Source organism: Homo sapiens, chromosome 4 (assembly GCF_000001405.40).
Source record: "Homo sapiens chromosome 4, GRCh38.p14 Primary Assembly".
NCBI lineage: Eukaryota > Metazoa > Chordata > Mammalia > Primates > Hominidae > Homo > Homo sapiens.
In genome coordinates, this window is record NC_000004.12 from 140670125 (window position 1) to 140689249 (window position 19125).

Genomic DNA, 19125 nt, shown 5'->3' on the forward strand with positions numbered 1-19125 from the left:
CTATGGCAGCCTCATCACCCCATTGAGTTTCTGGCGCCTCAAAAATGTCCACATAAGCTTGGAGCAGGTGAACAGAGACAGAGATGTTATGTGTGAGCTTACCACCTTCGAAACATGTTTTATCTGCCATAACTTCCTCTAACCATTCAGATAGTCACCTATCTTTTCAGGCCTCCAGTGTTCCTGAATGTTGGTCCAGGGAAGAATTCCACAGGGACCCAATATGTATTCTATCATAATAAAAATCATCATAATGATTTGTATTTCAGGTTTGAGACTTTATTTAGTGACCTCTGTACCATTCTCAACAATGTCACTATATGGACCTGAGTCACTTGCTATGTAACTAGAACAGATTACTTAAGAATTTCTTCAACTATAAAATAAAAGTGTTATTCCAGGTGATCTATAAGGTTCCTTCTAAATCTATGACCCCAAATACAAAGTCCTTGAGATTTAAATGAGATATTGCTGAGATATTGCTTTGGGCGTCAGACGCAAAGCTTGAAGATCAAACAAAATGGGCAAGGAACTGAACACACTTGGGCACAGGAACAGGATAAACCAAAAATACTTTCAGGTGTCTCCCACAGACCTCATCATCTGAACTGTTGTAACTTCCTGCAAACTCCTTGTCAGAATATATTTTGGAAGTAGTCTGTTGCAGGAAATCTGAGATCCTCTGCACTAGAAAGTCTCTATCTTTCAAGTTGGCAAATAGGAAGGTCATCCTGTTTCGGGTGCTGATGGATAAGGGACTGGGGAGCACACTGGAGCTGTCTGCCTTTTCCACAATTGTCACCTGAAAAGAAGTGGGAAACAAAGAGCATTATTTTCCAAGAATTACCCAATAGCAGCCTATATGCAGCACTAAAGGAGGAAGGCGGCACTTTCATTATTCTATAGGAACCACCTATATTTTATTGAAGCAAAACTGAGACTCTTTGACTCTGTTCCAGTAAAATAAAACAGCTCAAAACAATCAAACTGGAGCTTATACTAGAAACTGGAACCGTCTTGCTGGTTTTTCCAAATCAGTGGTTCAAAATGGGACTTTTTTCCTCTCAGGAGACATCTGGCAACATCTGGAGGCATTTTGGGTTGTCACAGGTAGAGGGATACTACTGGCATCTGGTAGCAGAGTCCCGGGATGCTGCTAAACATCCTACGACACACAGGACAGCCCCTGCCATCCCACTCCACCACAACGAAAGCCTGTCCCAAAATGTCAATAGCTCCAAGGTTGAGAAACCTTGCTATAAAGGAATTATTTGATTTTCATTAAAATTTCATGGAGCTATAAGAGAGAGGGCTCCTCGCTGCTTCATCAGCCATAAGAGACAGAAAACAACCCATGATACTGGTTCCTTTTACCAAGCTTAATGTTGGAATGGTTTTCAAAACACCACCAATCCTTCAAATGTTTCATTTAGACTCCAGGGCTTTTCATCCTTCACCTTCTACCACTGCAAAGTTTTAAAGGTTCTATTCTGAACAGACATGTAAAGAATGTAAACAGCTTAATTGCAACATTATCTGAACTACCAGACTGTGTGTGTGTGTGTGTGTGTGTGTGTGTGTGTGTGTGTGTGCCGAAGCCTACCACATTGGGGAAATTTAGCTCTAAACTGAAGACATATACGGGTGATTTATAATAGGATTTTCATCAACTAGAAACTAGGATAAACGCATTAAAACTTTTCTCTTTAGCACATTAGAAAACAAATCTCAAGGCAAGCACTAGAAAAATGGTTTATTTGCAGCAGCTCTGACAATATACTTAAAGCTAAGATCTTTTTTCCCTTCTTCATTTCTACTGCAAGCAGTCTAGACAGGTTAAACTTTAAGTTGTTCATTAGCATTTTCATGTGAAATATATTTCCTTCAAAGCACAACTTAGAAATGTTTTCCCTACTCAAGACTAAGTAACCTATTGAAGTTGTCTAAAAACTCTTGCATATCTAAAAAAATAGGTCTGCCTGGGGTCCATCAAGGGAAAAAGTGTAGCATCTGACTGCTGTTTTCAGAATATATGTGTTAGAGTATATATGATTCTTTTAATATCTATATTAAATATATGTGTTAATATATGACATATAATATACATTATATATTAAACATACATTATAGAATATTAAAAATATATATTTATATATATTAAAGGAATCTTCTGAGACACCTGAAGTTGTACATAAGGATTTTCTTTCTAATGCAATAAATGCTATATAACAGAGGGAAATACCTCCTTTTCCTGAAAAGAATTTTCCCATAACACTTAAGGCATGTATTAAAGAATACTTATTTTTTAAAATCCACAAAAGCCCCTTTTCTCACATAAAATTTTTACTGGCTCTTTTGGTCATGAGGTGTCTGGGATAAATGGAAAATGCCAAGGAGATGAAAGGTTACATTATGTGTCTAAAACGCAGTTAGCTATGTGGATCTTGATAAAGTCAAAGTGAAAAATTCCTTCGTCTAGCTGGAGCATGTATGCAGAAACAAGAAAGCTCCCACATAAAACATATAAATGCTCAGACGGCTTATAAAATGTTTCTCACTGATAAATGAGTTCTAGCAGAACTCTATCACATAAGCTCCCCGCCACCAGGAAAGGAGAACAATTACATTAGAGTCTGCTACAATATAATGAGACATATTTTCATGACCAATTTGAGTTATAAAAGAGACTGCAACTTAATCAAGTCTTGGTGTTTAATATGAAACACTGGAAAGTAATTTATGAATGAAAAAAAAGGCTAGGCACGTGGCTCACGCCTGTAATCCCAGCACTTTGGGAGGCCTAAGTGGTCAGATCACTTGAGCTCAGGAGTTCAAGACCAGCCTGGCCAACATGATGAAACCCCATCTCTACTAAAAATACAAAAATTAGCTGTGGGTGGTGGCGCATGCCTGTAATTCTAGCTACTCAGGTGGCTGAGGCAGGACAATCACTTGATCCCAGGAGGTGGAAGAGGAGGCTGCAGTGAACCAAGACTGTGCCACTGCACTCCAGCTTGGATGACTGTGTGAGAGACCCCATATCAAAAAAAAAAAAAAAATTCCTTCTCTTGCTGGCTTAATAATTTCTTCAAAATCTATAGCAACATGATCCTGGATAAATGCTTAACATCTGTTGACTGGGTCTACCTTAAGTCAATATGTAGAATGTGTGTTAAAAACCTCCAGTCAATATTTCAGCTTATTTATTTAAAAAAATTAAGTGAAACAACAATTCTTGGTCTATACAATCTTAAAAGTGGGCATTCCGTGTAGGATGTAATGTTCCCAGGGATGTCAAGCAGCCTGACTCGGTTCTGAAAGGTACCCAGCTCACGTGGAGGGCACCCTCCACTCAGACCCCACATGGATGGTGGGGGTGCCCCCATTGCTCTTCTGACATTATCATTACCTAAAGGTAATAAAAATTACATTAAGTCTTTTGCTTCTTCCATTAGTTGGGGTGGGGCTCTACCATTAATACATCACAGAGTCATCAGTTCAAAGAAAAGGCACTGCCGTCTCACTGAGCGCTTCTTTAAAGCTGCGCCTTCCAACCACAACAAGCTTGATTTCTAAATGCTACCTCTGCAGACTGCCTCTCTTCTGATTTACCCTGAAATATAGTCATATTTATTATTATCTCTGCTCTACTAGAGAAAACTAGCAAGCAGAATAGAGGTTGAGAATATTAATCACCATTCTCTCAATTCCTCCAAGATCTCAACAGTGTACTCTAAATCGCACTAAAATGTAAACAGAGCTAGTTGGCTCTAACACCCGGGAGGGGGAAGCCAGAAGGACCAGCAGGACAGCAGATGTCTTGATAGCGGCTTCCAGACCCTCTCTGCTCCTCATTTCCCTCTGGATAAACTGAGAGTGATGATTCATTCAGGTCATAAATAGCACATTTATGGTATTCTGAATCACAGAATTGGTTTCCCTAGCTGGTACAGGTAATGCTGCTTTACTACATTTGAGTAGCACATGATGAAGAAAATTACATTCAGAATTGGGTGAAGAAAATTATGTTTAGTAACATCCTATAGCAAAAACTACTAAGAAGGTAAATTTGGTGAAAAAACTTACAAAATACATTTCACAGTCAAATGTAAAACTGTTACATTATTCCTGTCAGAATTTACCCACAACATATCTTGGCCTCAAAATGTGTTATAACTCCAATTAGTTGACCCTACGACAAGGAGAGCTAGATTTGTCAGTTGCCTAACATTTTTCATTCTTTTTGATTCACAGTTCGACTTCTGTTTGCTATTTATAACTTAAAGAAAATTATACATATATTTGAGAGAAAACTAGATGCAACGGAAAGGTCCAACCATAGGTAACCGAATGAATAAATTATGTATATACTTTACGGAATAAACTGCAGGATTTAAAATTTAATTGTGATATGAATGTGATGGTGTATGCCTGTAATCTCAGCTACTCATGGGACTAAGGCAGGAGGCTCATTTGAGCCTAGGAGCTCATGTCTAGTCTGTGCAATAGACCAAGGCCCCTATCTCTTAAAAAAAAATTACATTGTAGAAGAATATATATATATATATTTTTTTTTAATTTTTTATTTTTTAGAGATAAGGTCTTGCTCTGTCACCCAAGCTGGAGTGCAGTGGTTCGATCATAGCTCACTGTGATCTCAAACTCCTGGGTTCAAGTGATCCTCCCACTTCAGCCTCCCAAGTAGCTAGGACTACAGGAGCACATCACCATCCCCAGCTAATTTTTTTAAATTTTTAATTTTTAATAGAGATGGGGCCTTGCTATGTTGCCTAGGCTGGTCTTTGAACTCCTGGCCTCAAGCAGTCCTCCTGCCCCGGCTTCCCAAATTTCTGGGATTACAGGTGTGAGCCATCACATCTGGCCTATAGAAGAATATTTAATGATTTGAAGGACACTTTAAGATATACTCAATGTTAAAGGAAATAACTAAAAATAAAAATTCCCTATAAAGTGTTTTACATCTAAATTATATAAATGACACATACACAGCAATGCAGAGAAAAAACTAGAAAGCTGTACAATAGAATGTTAACAGTGGTCCTCTCTGAACAGTGGAACTAGGGCGGACTTTTCTCTTTATTTGTCTGTATTTTACAAATTCTGGGATAAAGATATATTACTCTTAAAACAAGAAAATAAGAAGAAACTATGCCTAATTAAAAAAAAAGAAAAAGATAAAGAAGGCAGAGAGAAACCCGAATCCTTTGCTAAAGGGATGTTAGCAAGGGGACAATCCTGATCAAATACCCAAAGCCTCTGGCCACCTTAGCTTCCAGAAAGGACCAGGGTAGGTTGGAAGAGGTCAGGTTAGAAACTGCAGGGCTGCTGGCCCCTGCACTGCCCTTTCTCTGACATCCTAACCTGGGGTCTTTGTCAACTCCAAGCCTCACAGCAAAGCTTCCAGACAAGTACCAGAGTAAGCTATCATCCTGGAGTTAGGATGGAACCCACCTCCACCCCAGAACAATAATAATGTTTCTTAGACTTTACTGTGCATAAGAATTGGCCTGTAAATGTATTAAAACAGAGATCTAAAACTTGCAGAGATACAGATTCAGAAGATCTGGGATGGACTCAGGAATCTACCATTGTAAGCAGCAGCATGATGGTTCTAACACAGGAAATCAGCCGAGCAGAGCCCAACAAACACGTGGCTTTCTGACTCACAACCTAGACTGTCTCCTTTAGACCAGGGTGCCCTCAGACCTTGAGCCAGGTACAATAAACATGTTTCCTAGTTTCTGTATTTGATGCTTTGGCATCTTGGGGGCCTTGCTGACCCTGGAGGGATTACCCTTCCCAGGGCTAGCCAATTTCTAGAAAATTGCTTTCAAAGCAAATCAACCAATCTGGAGCCCACACCTCAACCACTTCCTTTATTGAATGCTCACACTCAAGACTACTATTTCCTTGCCCTTTTTAACCCATGGACAACTAGGGACAACCCCTATGCCCCACAGCCCACCAAAATTGTTCCAATTATCCAAGCCTAAGCCTATTTACTCGGCGTAGCCCATTTCTTCCCTTGAAATCACATAAAGGATCTTGCCCACATTTTCTTTCCCTCCTGCCTCCTCTGACCATGGTGCTTCCACGTGTGGCCCAGCACATCGCGTGGCATGCCCTTGCCTTTCAGGATCTGTGCATAAAACAAGCTATTTCAATAGCACTCATCCCCTGATTGCTGGCCTCGTTAAGCTTGAATTGTAATAAAACCTACATTTAGGCCGGGCACAGTGGCTCATGTCTGTAATCCCAGCACTTTGGGAGGCCAAGGTGGGTGGATCACCTGAGGCCAGGAGTTCGAGACCAGTCTGCCCAACATGGTGAAACTCCATCTCTACTAAAAATACAAAAATTAGCTGGGCATGGTGGCAGGCGCCTGTAATTCCAGCTACTCAGGAGGCTGAGGCAGGAGAATCGCTTGAACCTGGAGGGTGGAGGTTGCAGTAAGCTGAGATCATGCCACTGCACTCCAGCGTGGGTGACAGAGCGAGACTGTCTCTAATAAAATAAAATAAAAACAAAACCTACATTAAAAAACCCCCATGCAGCTTCTGGAAGAAGAGATCTCACAGGTCCCAGAGTCACAGCAGTGACAACAAATGAAAGAATGCAGGTGCCACCAAAGACGCATGAACATTCACCTGTGTTCAAAAGCCAATTGTTGGTAAAAAAATTATTCCTGGTTCACCCAGAAAAGTATTACAAATGAAACTTAAAATATCAATTTTTATCAGATACTTACCTCACGGAGCGGGATAATGAGGCTACATAAGTTCTCCTCCTTGCTGGTAAAACAGATGTAATTTGTGGACACAAACATCTGCCCCAAAATGTGCATTTTGTTAAATGGAGTCCAGAGAGTGCAGTCTGTGTGGCCATCTAATTTTTCATCTTTGGGCAGCCGGAAAAGTGCACGGTATCTCTCACTCTTTGCCCTGGCATCAAGATCACTGGAAAGCAATAATTACAATTCACATAAGAAAAATGTTTCCATACCTTCTAAATTATGCAGCAGCGGAAGTTCCCCCAGCCCATTTTCCACCTCCTCAATCTTGCTAGACTCATCCCCCGCTTCTCAGCTTTCTTTATATTGAAGTTAACCCCAACCTAATGACCCAAAAGCGTAATAAAATTATCTTATTATATTTCAGTCCCTTGCATAGTCACTTATAATCCATGTCTGTAAATGTTAAAGAATCATAGCAAAAATAAGCCTGAACAGGAAACTCTTCCTCTTTCTAAAGAAATGCAATACACTCTAAAGAGGTCACTGCATTTACTCTTATCCAAGCCACTTTAGGGGGGGCCTTATCTTTTAAGACCTAATGAGAATGCAAACCAGCCATATAAATCCACTGGGCCTCAGTGTCCACCCCAAATCGACAACAAAGCTGCAGGAAAAGACACAGGAACAACTCACCTTGGGCAACTATGGCTTCTGACCTTAGCTGGGTCTTCTGTTAACTACTATCTTTTCTCTAATGAGTTCTTTGTTCTTGCTCATCATGTCAGTTGTTTAAACCTCTCCCCTCAAGCTTCTACCTGACATCAGCCTCGTGATGGTCTAGTCTCTGACTTCATAGAGCAAAGGTCCATGATGCAGAAGCCCCCTCCAATTCCTTCCCTTCTGTCTCCAAAGTCACCTCCATCCTCACCTACTCTTACTTCCTCTCCATTCCAAAGGAAAAGGTATATCAGGACACACAAGCATCCTTTCCATGCTTTCTCTACAAAATATCACTTCTTAAATGATCAACTTTCTTATAACTATCTCTATGTCCCTTCCTGTCTCCACACCTACCCTCACCAAAATGCTCTTCCCATCTGCCTCCTTCATTTGATACTATGTTCAAATCTTTTTCATTCTAAAAAAAAAAGCAATCCTCCCCTCCTTTACCACTGAATTTCTTGAAAATGAAGTCTGTATTTGCCTAGTTCCCTTTCCTTGTCTTTTATTTTTTATTTGATCCGCTGCAGTAGCAGCATCTATCTTACACTGCTCTTTTGAACATGTCTCAAATCACCAAGGACATCTTAATTACAAAGACCTCTGGTTAGATTTCAACTACCAAATGCACATCAATGATTTCCAATTTTGTATATCTTACTGGACTGATCTCTACTTAGATGAGCTACAGGCACCTCAATTCAACATAATCAAAGCTGAGCTATCGTATCCCTTGGACATGCTCTTCCTTCTCTCATTCCCTGTGTTGATGAAGGGTAATTCCAGGCACATGGGGCATCAACTTTCCATCACCCTCTCTCTAGCTCTGCTCTCACATTCAGACTTTGAGGCTTCTCTGCAGCCTCTCCTCATCCCATGCCCTGCCACCTACTAGCCATGTGACAAAGTTACTTCTCTCTGTGTTTTCCCTTGTGTTTCCCCCATCGTCATCTTCCCTCTGCTTGAAATATCCAGGCATGGATATGTACCTGCACAGGTAACTTCTATCACCTCTTCAGAGCCCAGCTCAAAGCAGCCTCCACTGAGAGGCCTTTCTTACCCACTCTTCCCCATCTGGGCTGAGGCTATCACTCCCCATGTGTGCACCCACAGCACTGTGTTCACAGGACCAGAAGAGTGCCTGCTGCCTTGTGTTGGAGCAGGTCATGTCTGTCTCACTTTCTGAACTGGTAGCACCTCAGCTAGTCTTTTTTAGTTTTGTATCTATACACAGAAGAGTGTTCAGAACCCTTGAAGATCGTCAGAGAAGGTTACACTGAATAAATGAATGAGTGAGTTTCTCATTTCTAAAGTCTGGAAGATACAAGGTCTCTATCACCCACCGTTTTAGAGCAGACACTTTTTTAGGAGATTTCCTTTTGAGTTTGGGCAGGGATCGATCTTGTTCAAATCCCTCATTGTCTAAGAGTTGCCTCATGGCTATGTTGGCAAGCTGCTCCATTAACTTGAAGGTCTCGTTGATGTTGAGGAATACAGAGAAGAAATGCTCACTGGACCGTGTGCTCACTTTGATCACATCAGGCAGAAGCAGGGTGGCATTCTTCTCAAGCTGAGTGATGTCTACCCACCGGATGACCAGTTTCGCTGAGCACAAGGAACAAGCCTGGGTCAACATCTGATTCCTGAAAACGCTTTCAAGATATTGCAGTCTCACAACCCCACTCCCCCATCCCACTGAACTCCTTTGAGTTTATAATACCATATTTGTTTTGCTTGTTCATTTTAAGAGGTAAATCTGGGCCATGTGAATTCTGAGGTCAGAATTATAGATTTAATCCATGTCTACTGAATTAATTACACCTTTAGTGAATCTTTATTACTTAGTGACCATTTTGAACTGAAAAATAATTAAATTCACTTCAGTAGTAAAAAAAAATTAGTATTGACTTAGTTATAACTATAGATTTATTTCTGATATTTTGATGTGGTTTATGAGTTCAGGGCAAACCTCAGTAGACTTTCCAAAGTTTCCTGCTGAAATTTTAGATGACTTACCTTCCCTTCCCATAAGAAAAGAATAAAAGCAAAGGTGGTTAATGCTGAGGTACATCCAACCCTGACGGGGGACCTTCCCCTTCCAATAGCTGCAAGAGTAATAGTTGACGAGTTTCTCTTCCTCTGGCATCCCAAACAGCCTATGAAATTTCACAATGGCTTCTTTAAACTTCTCCGTGTCATCATCTTCCTTTACATCATTGATTTTGTTGTATTCTGCAATGATGCCCTAATAAGGAATAAAACACAAAGCACACAACTGGTATTAATATGACTAGAGATGTACATATTCCAGAAGAAAAAATTTCTAAGGCTAGAATTAAAAAAAAAAATTGAGGAATGCCCTTCAATGGCAACCCCCAAATTCTAAGCCAATTATTGAGTAGTATTTGTGTACTAAAATATTTTCACATAATATAGATTTTATTATATTTTTATTGGTGCTAATTTTATTTTGTTAAGTTTACTAGGAATGAAGCCTATAGTTTTACTTTACAAATGAAGAGATACAAAGATTTTGCTAGTCCTAGTGTTTTTACTAAGCTTATTATGGTAGAATTGTCTCAAAAGTCAACTTCTGCCTTTCTCCAAGATTAATAAAAATTCATCATGAATGAGCCAGTGAGGAAAGAAAGACCAAACACATGTCACCAACTGACACTCAGCTCCACACTCACTGTCTCAGGGCCATGAATAACACTGGGGAGCCTACAGGGAAAAACGAGTAATCATCTGAGCAGAAAAGGGGTAGATATGAGAGCAAAAATTATATTAGATGCAGGATTTTTGGACAGTTAGACAGGAAATGAAACATCTGCATAGCAAGTGACCAGGTTAATCTACCATTCAATCATTATAATAACTTGAGAAGCCATTTCACTGTTACCCAGTTCCTCTGTAATTCCCTGAAAATTGGCTTCTACATATATCTCGATGGAAAATGCTCCCTTGAATTCCACCTTTGACTTTGTAATCCTCAAATCCCTCCCGCCTCATCTTCATTTTCTCTGATCTCAAGGTAGAACTGAAAATGCATGACCTTTAGAGCATGCAAGTCTTAGATTCGTGCTCCCACCGCATCACTGTATCTGTGTAGCCTTGGCCAACTTCTCAGATTCTCATTGACATGACTGAGCTCTCTGTAGCCCAAGGATAGAAAATTGCAACTGCCTCCTCATACCTAGAATTCCTGCTTTTTGGGCTCTTAAAGCTTCTAGTGCATCCTTGATGCTCCCTAAAAATTTGTCTTCCTAAAATGGATTTGACCACAAAATTCTTACCAAAATACTTAGTGGTTTCTAACCACCACCAGTATAAAGTCCAAAAATCTAGATCATGTACACTTTGTTTGTTTTAATGTTTTAATTTTTATTTTTATTGCAGACTGGCTGCTCCTTGTGAAGCAGGGTAACCCACAGGCAGTGTGCCCAGAGTAGCCTAGACCCATGTACATTTTTGGATCCAACCAATGCCGCAACTTTTTCTCACTGGACTACATCCTACCCAAATGTCCCGTTAGTAACTGTGCTCCAGCCAGCCTGAGGCACCCTTGGGGCCTGAACATGTCATTTCTGCACTTTCCCACCTTTTTGCCTATGGCCCTCCCATTCTACATGCCTGAAATCTGGAATCAGACTGTTCTGTTTCGTGAATCCTACCAAGTCTCAAAGTCTCTTGTGAGCCTTTTCTCAACTATCATTCTTTTCCCCCCACATGAAGTAATGTTGATTCTCTCTGCATTATGTATTGAAATCATTTCCTGAGTCTTATTTCCACTGCAGACCTTTCACCCTGTTGCCGGTAGTTGTGATGCTGCTGAGTGGATGGCAGGAGAAAGGGCTTCAGTCTTCTATAATCTCTGTCACTGTCCTATTCTAGTTAAAAGTAAGCATGTAGACAATAATCATAACAGCAAATGGTGGGCTTACGATGCAAGCACAGCCCCAAGACAAGTCTTTATCCTATTCTTCTAACAAAAGCATCCCAAAGTCCCTCTACACAGTCCAGGAATTACTATATAATAGCTTCTCAAATGGCATCCTGACAACACTCTCCACACTCCAATTTACTTCACATGGCCACTTTCTGAAACAGAGATCTGACTACAGTATTCCCACCTTATAATCTTCCACAGGCTCTCAGTGAAAGAGAAAAGAAATCTGCACTGAATCTTAACCCATAAAATCTGCTCTCAATCTTCCCAAGTCAACCTTTCCAGGTCCAGCATAAATACCACCTTCCCTGTGAAACCAGCCCAATTCCAAATGGGTTCTAAGCATTCTCACGTCTATGTTGTCTTAATTTACATGCTGGCAGAAAATAGCATGTTTATATGTCCTTCTACCACTAAATATGAATTCCAAAGATAAAAAGAATGTCTCGAACATTTTAATCACCAATATCTAGCACCTAAAAGATGTTCAATATTACTAAATGAATCCATGTTGTTGTTTTTCCAAATTAAAAGATATCTTAAGGGGCCATATCTTAGTCTTTATTGTATAATCCAGAGTTGCAGATTTCTAAATCTACAATTGTTTTGGAGTTAGCAATGCCTGAGAAATTAGGTACCAAGTTGCTAACTTCTGTTCCTCTGTCATACTGGAGGGCATTATGGATAGCAATAGAAGTAGCAATGTGCTTCCCTGGAAAAATATCTAACATAAGGATATTTTCCTCTATTTACCACTGATATCACTCTACCAAGAGAACAAAGACATTAAGCTCGATGAAGGCCAGGAGGGAGCTCAATTTTGGACCCAGGCTATTCTAGGGACAAGCAGGCGTTGGTAGTGTTACTTTAAGAACTTCAGACAACTGAAGGCAGCATGAGGGCATGGGACCCGTGGGTGGGAAGGAGAAGTCAATTCAGAAGGGAAAAGGGATGAAAAATGCCTTTCGCAGTTGGCAAATACACCTGTGGCCTATGTGACATTTCAAAGTTGTCAGTGCCTTTAGAGAAGGATCAAAAAATATCTATGAATGAAAGATTAAATAAATGAATGAGTAAATAAAAATAACTGAATGAGAACCTGCTAACAGAAAGCAGCAGCTGGGCCTCCAGGGAATCACCAAAGGCTAACAACTTAGAGAAGCCTGGAGACCCTCAAGTGGGCTAACATGCTATTCTCCTGGGTCACTGTAGTAGCGCTCTTACCTAAAGTCAAAATGAGGAGAATGTGAGAATGAGTGACATATAACAAACCATAAGCAGAAGTATGCTATCTAAAGATCTATTAAATACCACATTTCTAGAGTGCTCACTGAATTTATTTATTTATTTATTTTCGAGATGGAGTTTTGCTCTTGTTGCCCAGGCTGGAGTGCAATAGCTCGATCTTAGCTCACTGCAACCTCCATCTCCTGGGTTCAAGTGATTCTCCTGCCTCAGCTTCCCGAGTAGCTGGGATTACAGGCATGCACCACCACGCCTGGCTAATTTTTTTGTATTTTTGATTTCTGCATGTTGGTCAGGCTGGTCTCGAACTCCTGACCTCAGGTGATCTGCCTGCCTCAGCCTCCCAAAGTGCTGGGATTACAGGTGTGAGCCACCGCACCTGGCCTGCTCATTGAAATTTTAAAGAGAAAATGCTTTTATATATGAGAGTAAATACAGTCAAGAACCATCACTCAGAAACACTCTAGGGTCTAATATACTAGTATCAAGAGACAAGGCTTTGCCAGCTCATTTCAACAGTAAGGCTAATAGTCTCCATAAGGCTAAAATACCAACTTTCTCAACACTAAAAAAGGAAATAATCCAGAATGTAGAACCCTTTCTTAGTTGGCTATAATTTTTTAGCCAGGTAGACTAGATTATGGAATACAGGGATAGAATAGCTCCTTCCCAGGTTCTACAGGTTTTTCTACAGGTTTCGCATAATATAAAATAGGTCATTCCAGTTCTAGGCAACAGCTTCTCATGACTTTGGAAAATCCTATTATATCAGATGTTCAATATAAATTTAAATATGCAAAAGAATATTAACAGGTAATTTACAAAAAGGAGAAATTTAACTTAGCAAACATGAAAAAATATTCAACCCCATAATAACCAAAGACAAAACTAAAACATTAAGGCTTTAACTTCTACCTATTATATTTGAAAAATAATTTCAACAACCAAAATGCTGAAAGCAAGCAATGCTGTAATCACACAGAGATTCTAACTGACAATATCTACTAAGGTCTATTAAAAATACTTAAACTACTTAACCCATTCATCCAAATTTTGTAATCTATCCCAAAGGGGGAAAAACACAGCCTGTGGGTAAAGTTACACTGTTTGAACAAAAGTATTAACTGGATTTTTATTTGTACCTGCCATCCACTAGTCTAGAAGCTAAGGTGACTTCTAGAAAGACAGAAATGGTAAAGTCAATTATGGAATAATAACTAAAAATTATATAACAATATTGTAGATACTGGTCAAGAAAAAAAGACGAGAACAAAATTATATGTACATGAGACTTCTATTATGACAATATGCATATTAGAAGTGGGGAGGCCGGGCATGGTGTCTTAGGCCTGTACTTCCAGCACTTTGGGAAGCTGAGGTGGGTGGATTGCTTGAGCCTAGGAGTTCAAGACCAGTCTGGGCAATGTAGTGAGTCTCTGTCCCTAATTAAAAAAAAAAAAAAAGTTAAGAAAAGGGAGGTCTGGTAAGAAATACACAAAATGCTACATAAGGTGTTTGGATTATGGTTGCATCTGTAGTTAACTATTACATTTATGATTTATAAAAGTTAATTAGGTCTCAAAACAAATAACTTTGTTGGTTCCCTTGATTATTGGACAATATGTGAATGCTTAAACCATTCATCTGCACATGAATGACATTCTTTCACACATAACTGCATTAATAGCAAATCCCTCCTCATAATTGGTTTCAGGGGAATTAAATCTGACATTTTTGGTGTAATACAAACAAAAAGGAAAATGGCTGTTTGACATAATTGGTCTTTGTTTGTTTTACTTATTTCTCCTGGCTATTGTCACTTCTAAGCTTTAGCTTCTTCCTACAGCCCTTTTTTTCTTTTTTGAGACAGAGTGTCACTCTGTTGCCCAGGCTGGAGTGCAGTGGTGCAATCATGGCTCATTGCAGTCTTGACCTCCTGAGGCAGGAGAATTGCTTGAACCCAGGAGGCAGAGTTTGCAGTGAGCAGAGATCACACCACTGCACTCTAGCCTGGGCAACAAGAGTGAAACTCTGTCTCAATAAATAAATAAATAAAGGAGACTATGACAAGGACAAAGGAGGCAATTTGTAGGGGCTCCCTCTAAATCTGGGATAGTGTGAGCACCAAAATAATTAAGTCCAGTAATGAAACACAAACAACTGGAAAATACAGAATCCATGATTCCATGTTAATAATCGATAAATAATAAATAAATGGAGGGAAGACTCTTGCTTATAGTAGAATAATAGTTGCCAAATGGTAAATGTGGGAGAGGCCTGGAATTGGACAAGCATTATTTTATAAAATCACCATCTTGTAAACTGTCACAGTAAAGACTGGTTCAGATGAAAAATCATCAATGGATCAATCCTAAATCAAGACAGAAATTTTGACAAGGAGTGATACATTTGTGTGGCCTGAAAATGTTTTCTTACAGAAAACTGTTTATTATTTGCAAAGGCAAAATTAGTAACTCTACAATGGAGAAATTGGATATAACACCTTGGGCTCATAATGCCAATGAGGGGCAAATGAGTGTCATGTGCCTCAAGAAATAATATCTTGAGAAGGACACAGGATCACCTATGCAGTATTCCATCCAGGAATGCAACAACTGAATCGATTCATAATATCTGACGAAATGCAAAATGAAATCATTCTAGTAAAAAACCAGAATTGTATACTTTAAAAACCTCAATGTCATAGAAGACAAGGAAAGGCTATGGAAATGTTCCACGCTGAAGGAGACTAAAGACATGAAAACTAAATGCAATGTCTTCCTAGATAATTACCTGTACTGGAGTGGGGGTGGGGAAGGCTATAAAGGGCATTAAGTCGGCCAGTTAATGAAATTAATTAGAATATGTGTCAAATATTCTGGTATTAATGTTAAATTTACATATAATGTTAAATATTGCAGGTGATAAATGTAGTGTTGTTATTTAATAGAATATCCCGCATGTTCTCATTCACATGTGGGAGCTTAAAAACTTGGTCACATGGAGACAGAGTAGAATGATAGATTCCAGAGGTTCAGAAAGTTGTGAAGGTGGGACAGGGAACAAAGAGAGGCTGGTGAATGGTACAAACTTACAGTTAGAAGAAATAAGTTCTAATGTTCCATAGTGACTAGGTGACTATAGTTAACAACAATATATTGTCTATTTCAAAGTAGCTAGAAGAGAGGACTTGAAATGTTACCAACACATAGAAATAATAAATACTCCATATGATGACTACCCCACATACCTTGACTTGATCATTCCACATTCTGTGATGTAAAAAACACTCACATGTACCCCAGAAATATGTAAAATATCATGTTATCAATAAAAGAAAAAAAAGGAATAGCCCTATTCTTAGAAAATACACACTGAAGTATTCAGGAGAGGAGGCAAACACACATATGAGAAAGCAAATGCAGTAAAATGTTAACAGGTGAATTTGGGCAAAGGGTATACAGGTATGTTTTACTCAATTCTTATTTTTACAACATTTCTGTAAATTTGAAATTATTTCCAATTAAAATGTTTTTCTTTTATCCCACTACCTGTATTTTTCCTCTCACAAATGTGGTGATATCATTCTCATTTTCAAAGATGGAGAGTGTCTGCAAGAGATTTTGCTCAAGCCATTCCCAGTGTTCAGTGATTTCTTTCCTGGAACCACCTGTACAAATGAAAATAATAATTCATGTCAGATTTCATGCCAAAGATATTTTAAAAACCAGGCTCACTTTTTCATTATAGTCTATACCATCAAAGGAGACTATCGGACCAAGAGCTTTGCCTTTAAATGCTTTCTCTCCTCCAGAGGAGACACACACACAAGACATTTAAGGATGTGGAAACGCAAGAGTAATATTATAATCAAGTTGTGTTATAATCAAGTTTGATTAGGTGAGTGCAGAGGCTTTGAGGACACTGTTTCAGATCAGAAGGCAGCAATATTTCTCAAATTCACTTTTCTGGACTAGAGTTTAGCACATCCCTCCCCTTTCCTCCCTTCTAGAATTTGCACTTTACAGGGTAACATAGATCTTATGATACTAGGTTACAGTTGTTAAGTTGCAACAATATGAGAGCTTTGGTATGCCACTGGAGAACTGATGTAACCACCTCCTATAATGGGCAAAAAATTACTCTCACTCACTTCAATTATGAATGAGATGTGAAAATGGACTATCACTAGGGAATAGCAGCCTGGCTCTCATTAGCACAGTTGCCTTGAAATGTAATGGGATGAGGTCATCCTTGCAGCCTCAACCAAGTCAACACATTTTGGTCAATAATAAGAAGCATTTAAGATAACTCTTCCAGCAACCTCCAAACTTAAACAATCAGCTTTATAGTATATGTAATCACTACTCTGTTTTTGCTCACAGCTGCAGGGTGTAATAGGTATGCCATCAGGGTGGGGGTATAAAGATACTGGACTAAATTCCCCTAATGATTGTTAATGATCTTATAGAAAAATGGCTTTTTATAATTTGTCCGTATATCATATATATGTGTGCCATATATATATATGTGTGTGTGTGTGTGTGTGTCATATATATATATATATATATATATATATATATATATATATATATATATATATAAACATATAGTATGCACTGCTCATTCCAGAACTAAAGAAGGAGTTTGTGATTCCATTGATTCACCCTTCAGGATTCTCCTTCGATTTCCAAGTTATATTTTAATTGATTTCTTTAAAGTGTCTTTTCTCTCTGTTCTTTGTCATCAGTAAGATCTCAGAATCTCTGATTCTTGACAAAGAATGAAAGACAGGAGACACAAATGTATCTGCAATTATACTCAGAACTGTGGCAGAACTAAAATCGCTGAGAGAATGAGAGAAAGAAATTCAGGAGAGAGAGAGAATGAGAAATTTCAGATACACTGAGGAAAGGCAAAACAAAACCCACATGTACTTTCTTTTACTTTGAGACTAAACATCAAACTTGCCTACAAGGGATGCTTATGTGAAGGATGAAAAGCAGGTATCAGCTGAGTGCAGTGGCTCACGACTGTAATCCTGGCACTTTGGGAGGCTAAGATGGGAGCATCACTAGAGCCCAGGAGTTCAAGACCAGGCTGGGTAACATGGGGAGACCCAGTTTCTACAAATAATAATAAGAAAAATTAGTCAGACATGGTGGCATGTGCCTGTAGTCCAGCTACTTGGGAGGAGGAGGTGAGAGGTCCACATGAGCCTAGGAGGTCAAGGTTGCAGTGAGCCATGATCACACCACTGCACTCCAGCTTTGACAATGACACAGTGAGACCCTGTCTAAAAGAAAGAAAAAAAAAAGCAGGTATCTTAGTGGAGAAGAGTCCAGTGAAAACACTGAAGCATACATTGCTCCTCTTCCTGGGTATTTTCCACACTTGCTCTTTCATGGCCATAAGCTACCACGTGTAAAAGCAGTGGGATAACTGTCCTACAATGTCATGGCAAGACCTTGAAATTGGGACAGCTGGGTACCTCCTCCTTCTCTGCCACCAGTCACCTGGGTGACTTTAGACAAGTGCTTAATCTCTGTCTCAAATTCTGTAAAATTGAGATCAGTTAAAAACACAAAACTGGCTGGGGGCAGTAGCACACTCCTCTAATCCCAGTGCTTTCGGAGGCAGAGGTGAGGGGATCACTTGAGGCCAGGAGTTTGAGACCAGCCTGGGCAACATAGTGATACCCTCATCTCTACAAAAAAATTAAAAAATTAGCTGGGAGTGGTAGCACACACCCATAGTTCCTAGCTATGTCAGAGGCTGATGTGGGAGGATAGCTCGAACCCAAGAGTTTGAGGCCGCAGTGAGCCATGATGGTGCCACTGCACTTCAGCCTGGGCAACAGAGTGAGACCCTGTGGAGAGAGAGAGACTCCAACACAACAACAACAACAACCTTTACCCATCTCAGAGAAATACTATGAAAATCACAAGGGCTAATGTCTGTCGACACATTGTGGACAGCAAAAATACTGTTCAAATGCAAATTACAATGCCTATTTGAAATATTTAGGGAATGAGTCATTTTGGAGTTTGAAAGCTTTAAAATATTTTAAACTTAAAAATTTTAAATACTAACTGGAAAATTTTTTCAGACATACAGAGCCCTTCCTTGTCTGTAACCAGGTCACCACCATCACCAGCTGTGACATGCGGCAGACACAGAGAGAGCCCTGTGCAGAATAAATGCCAGCCATGAATCCTCCACCCGATTGTTCCATCTGTGCTTGTTGGCACTGTCAGATGGACTGCACCTCAGGACAGAGGTACTCCTGGGAACCACAGGACTGAGTTCTGCAGACCCAGAGGCATAATTCATCTCTGTTTTGCCTCTCATCTGTCCCTGCCTACATTGATCACAGATATGCCTTGTAGAGTCTGAGCCTCGGCTCAGCCAGGATAATCTGGCTCTTGACTGGTATCTCACCATGCTCTGCCCTTTA

The 19125-nt window shown here is 39.6% G+C and overlaps 1 protein-coding gene across 1 annotated transcript in view; it reads right to left on the reverse strand.

The window, feature by feature from the left end:
* Positions 1-19125, reverse strand: part of TBC1D9 (TBC1 domain family member 9) — a 135604-nt gene that overhangs the window by 49343 nt on the left and 67136 nt on the right. The window contains exons 3-7 of the mRNA NM_015130.3: positions 16220-16338; positions 9491-9719; positions 8818-9079; positions 6770-6977; positions 596-802 (exon numbers count right to left, since the gene is read on the reverse strand). Coding sequence (NP_055945.2) covers positions 596-802; positions 6770-6977; positions 8818-9079; positions 9491-9719; positions 16220-16338 — 1025 coding nt within the window. The remainder of the gene's footprint in view (positions 1-595; positions 803-6769; positions 6978-8817; positions 9080-9490; positions 9720-16219; positions 16339-19125) is intronic.